Source organism: Homo sapiens, chromosome 6 (assembly GCF_000001405.40).
Source record: "Homo sapiens chromosome 6, GRCh38.p14 Primary Assembly".
NCBI lineage: Eukaryota > Metazoa > Chordata > Mammalia > Primates > Hominidae > Homo > Homo sapiens.
The window spans coordinates 4,227,978-4,229,193 of NC_000006.12; the positions used below are offsets into that span (position 1 = coordinate 4,227,978).

The following is a 1,216-nucleotide window of genomic DNA, read 5'->3' on the forward strand; positions in this document are numbered from 1 at the left end:
TTGGGAGGCCAAGGTGTGTGGATCACTTGAGCTCAGGAGTTTGAGACCAATCTGGGCAACATAGCAAGACCCCATCTCTACAAAAAATACAAAAAAATTAAAAATATAATTAAGAAATTAATGCTGACAGATCAATTAGATAGCCATGTGTAAACAGAAAGTCTTGAAACATACCCTAAACTACCCACAAAAATCAATTTCAGAAGGAATGTAGCTTTAAACATAAATATTAAAAAATAAAATAAATTATTTTTATAACTTTGAGTAGGGAAATATTTTTTAAACAGATTACAAAAACCAGTAGCTATAAAGGAAGAGATTGATAAATTAGACCGCATTCAAATTAATAATTTTTATTTATCAAAAGACATCATTAAGGAAGTGAAGAGGCAAGTTTTAGAGTGGAAGAAAATATATATACACACATAACTGACAAAGGGATCACATCCAGAATATGCAGAGCACTCCTATAAACAATAAGAAAAAGACAAATATTAAACTGATAAGAACAGATACTACACTAGATCTTAGCCAAAAGGCTGAGAAAGAAGGGGAACATCACATACCGGGGCCTGTCATGGGGTGGGGGGAGGGGGGAGGGATAGCATTAGGAGATATACCTAATGTAAATGACGAGTTAATGAGTGCAGCACACCAACATGGCACATGTATACATATGTAACAAACCTGCACATTGTGCACATGTACCCTAGAACTTAAAGTATAATAACAACAAAAAAAGAAAAAGACAAATAGAAAAATGAGTAGAAGGCTGGATATATAATTTATAAAAAATGATGTCCAAAAGTGTTCAATTTCCTCAATAATCATGTAAATGCAAATCAAAATCAATGAGATATCACCACACATCCTCCAGAATAGCTAAAATAAAAGAGACTGATGGGGATTTCCGGCAAGATATCCAAATAGGAACAGCTCCGATCTGCAGCTCCCAGCAAGATTGATGAAGAAGATGGGTGTTTTCTGCATTTCCACCTGAGGTACCTGGTTCATCTCATTGGGACTGGTTGAACAGTGGGTGCAGCCCATAGATGGCGAGCCAAAGCAGGGCGAGGCGTTGCCTCACCCGGGAAGTGCAAGGGATCAGGGGATTTCCCTTTCCTAGCCAAGGGAAGCCACGAGAGACTGTACCAGGAGGAACAGTACACTACTGCCCAGATACTGTGCTTTTCCCATGGTCTTTGCAACTGGCAGA

At 38.2% G+C, this 1,216-nt stretch overlaps 1 pseudogene; it reads right to left on the reverse strand.

Moving 5' to 3' along the window:
- Positions 1 to 435: 435 nt before the first annotated feature.
- Positions 436 to 551, reverse strand: LOC124901556 (uncharacterized; annotated as a pseudogene).
- Between the last annotated feature and the right edge of the window lie 665 nt (positions 552 to 1,216).